This window comes from Homo sapiens, chromosome 18 (genome assembly GCF_000001405.40).
Source record: "Homo sapiens chromosome 18, GRCh38.p14 Primary Assembly".
Lineage (NCBI taxonomy): Eukaryota > Metazoa > Chordata > Mammalia > Primates > Hominidae > Homo > Homo sapiens.
In genome coordinates, this window is record NC_000018.10 from 10,433,628 (window position 1) to 10,437,232 (window position 3,605).

The following is a 3,605-nucleotide window of genomic DNA, read 5'->3' on the forward strand; positions in this document are numbered from 1 at the left end:
CCTTGGAGTCCTCCTACATTCTTCCATGGGTCACTAAGTCCAGTGCACTCAGGCTTCCAGCATAGTTTGCCTCTTTTCCTCCTCATCCATGTGCTGCCCCCAAACACCTGCCTCAGGTCATGGCGTCTCCCACCCAGGTCACCTCCGGAGCTTCCTCCCTGCCTGAGTCTCACCCTCTTCTAATCAGTCATTCATACGACTTTCAAAGTGATTTTTTAAAAACAAAAACCTTGTGCGGGGCACAGTGGCTCATGCCTGTAATCCCAGCACTTCAGGAGGCTGAGGCTGGCAGATTGCCTGAGCTCAGGAGTACAAGACCAGCCTGGGCAACAGGGTGAAACCCCATCTCTATTAAAATACAAAAAATTAGCTGAGCATGGTGGTGGGTGCCTGTAATCCCAGCTACTTGGGAGGCTGAGGCAGGAGAATTGCTTGAACCCAGGAGGCGGAGGTTGCAGTGAGCTGAGATCACGCCACTGCACTCCAACCTGGGTGACAGAGCAAGACTCTGTCTCCTCACCGCCACCACCCCCCCCAACCCACAGCAAAAAAAAAAAACACCTTGTGATTCTCCCATGTTTACCGCCCTTTTTATGACTCCCAGTGGCTTTCCAGTTAAAGCCCCTTGACCTGGCCCAGGACAATCAGGGTGTGAATTATGCCCACCTGTCTGGTCTCATCCTCTTGCTGTTCCCAGGTGGCCAACTGTCCAAGTTTGCCCAGGACTGTCCTGGTTTTTGTCCTGCGTTGGGGAACCTCTCAGCCCCTGGCAAGCCAGGGAAATTGGTCTCCTCACCTGGGCCCTTCCCTACAGCCCTAAGACTTCCCCAAAGTCTTCCTACCTGGGGCTTCCCCCTTGGCATTTACAAAAGTATGCCTAGGATGGTCCTCTCCTTTTATTCCTCCTGCAAAACCCACCCAGCATCTCCTCCTCTAGGACAGTGGTTCTCCAAGGGTAGGCTCCCAACCACCAACAGCAGCAGCCCCTGGGGGACTTTCTAGGACTTTCTTGGGCCTCACCCCAGATCTATTGAATCAAACTGTAAGAGTGGGGCCCAGCAATCCTCCAGGGGGTTCTGGGGCATGCTGAAGTATGAGAAGTTTGGGAGCAGTGACCTGCTTCCCAAAGCAGACTTGCCTAGTCCCCTCCACACATTACCATGGGCCTGGTTCCTATTTTTATTATTGTACCCATCCCACTAAATTGCAATTATCTGCTAACATGTCTATCTCCCCAACCCAACTACAATTTCTTTGCAGTGTTGCCACTTTCTGTTGCTTTCCAGGTAATATCAGTCTATGTTTATATATCCTTGGCAGTTTTATTAGCTCTTTTATTAAGAGAACATGCTTCTTAAGTTATATTTAGTCTCCTAAGTCAAACCATGTCGGAGAGAAATATGTAATCCTAGTGAGAGGATTGTCAGAAAATGAAGAGGAGCAGGTGCTTATATGCTTCCTTGAAGTATCTGTATGGGTAAATATTGCCCTAATTCTCAATAAAAGTCACAGATCTTGGATACTGTCATTTAATACTGGAACAATAGACAGCTTTTCTCCTGCTCTAAGGATTGCCACCACTTTTCAAACTATCTTATCCCTTGAACTCTAAGGCTGTACACTGAACTTTCAGGCACTTTAAAAAATAAAAAACAAAACAAAGCCTCTGACTTCTCCCAATCACTCCTGAGCATTTCACAGTCTGAGTTTGCACTGTCTTTGTACTAGGAAGAACCCTCACTTTTGATCTCAATTAAAAACACTACCACATGTCTGCTATTAATAATGACAGCAATTTACTTCTGTTGAAATTGAAAGGCTTCGATTCACTTTGAAAATCCTAAATGCATTTCACATGGTTTACAGTCATATTTCAAAGCTTTCTTCTCCTTTATAGGTTTTTCTTTCCTTTGTGTTTTTAAAATAGGCTTAATCTTCAAAGTTTATGGTGGCCATTTGGTGTCTGAAGATGTAGATCTAGGCATACACATATGTATGCATATGTGTGTATGTTTATATTGATTTTATATTGATGTTGATATTTATATGTTGTGGTCAAACAAACCGTTCTGCCTTCTGGGCCAGCTTGTTATTGTTCATGTGAATATAATTTAACTGGTTTTGTTTCCAGAATTTTTACTTGACATGTTGAAAGTCAGTGAATCTAATGAAAAAGAAAAGGAAAAAAAACCTTGCAATGAGGAAACATGATTGTTTTCAGCAAACCACATGTGACATTTCAGATGTATGTTTTATATGGTATTGTCTTGAAAGAGCATACAATTGGCATGATTTTTAAAAGTAAATCATTAGGAGAAAACCTAAAACAACTAATTAACATTCATCAAATACATAAGAAGAAATGTGATTTTGACCACATCAAATGGCCAATCTTCATGCGCTGAACATTTGAAAAACAGATCCTGATTCAAAAGGATTTTTTCTCCCCCAAACAAGTGCTAATGTTCTGGAAGGGCTAGATGGGTCCGGAAAGGACACCTGGAAGCAGTTAGGGTAAGACTTCCCAATATTCAGTAGGAAGCAAATCCTATGCCAGGGCCTTGGCTTGCCGAAGGACTCAGAAAACAGGTTCAAAACTAGGTAAATGGTTTGTAAGGTTATAACTTGGAAGATTCACTTTTAAAGTTGTCTTAAAGCCATTAACAACAAAGTTTGGGTTTTTGACTGGAATTCATTCAATCGAGTAGCTTAGCTGTCCCATTTTTGCTGAATGGACACAAAATAAGCCCACGTGCAATCATGCAATTAACTACAATATAGTTAATCCAGGAAATGTTGTATCTTTATGATGGAACAGCTGAGCATTTTAATTTATTCATTAATTTATTTGTTCATTACTGAAATAATGATTGGGTCCATTAGATGCTCTACAAATTAAATCTTTTTGCACTTGTTCAGTAACTATTGTGAATTCCTAACAGATAGCATATTTTATTATATTGCCTTTTTAACTTAAGTTTGTGCCCAAGAGTTGAACAGACCAAATATTTTAGGATTATATATTCATGGAGCCATAAAGTGAAAGGCGTAGATAGATGTTGGAGTGGTGATTAACGAGAAACTAGATGGAAGTGACAATATATTGGTGAATCAAAAGTAGGCAGGTAAACAAACTGAAAATTCAAATGCTGCTGTATTATTATCTCCACAGGAGTATGCAATTAAAATCAATTAAATATTAATCATAAAGAACTCAGTTAAAATAACCAGATTTCAGTGAACATACAGAATATGCAAATCTTTGCAATGAAGTTAACATGGCATACACTATCCTGAACAGACTAATGCAGGAAAAGAAAACCAAACACTGCATGTTCTCACTAATAAGTGGGAACTAAACATTGAGTACACAAGGACACAAAGCGGGGAACAGCAGACAGTGAGGCCTACTTAAGAGTGGAGGGTGGAGAGGATCAAAAAACTACCTGCTGGGAACTATGCGTATTATGTGGGTGTTGAAATAATCTGTACACCAAACCCACAAGACATGCAATTTACCTATATAACAAATCTGCACATGTATTCCTAAACTTAAAATCAAAGGTTTTTTATTTAAAGTTAATGTGGCATAAACATTCACCAAA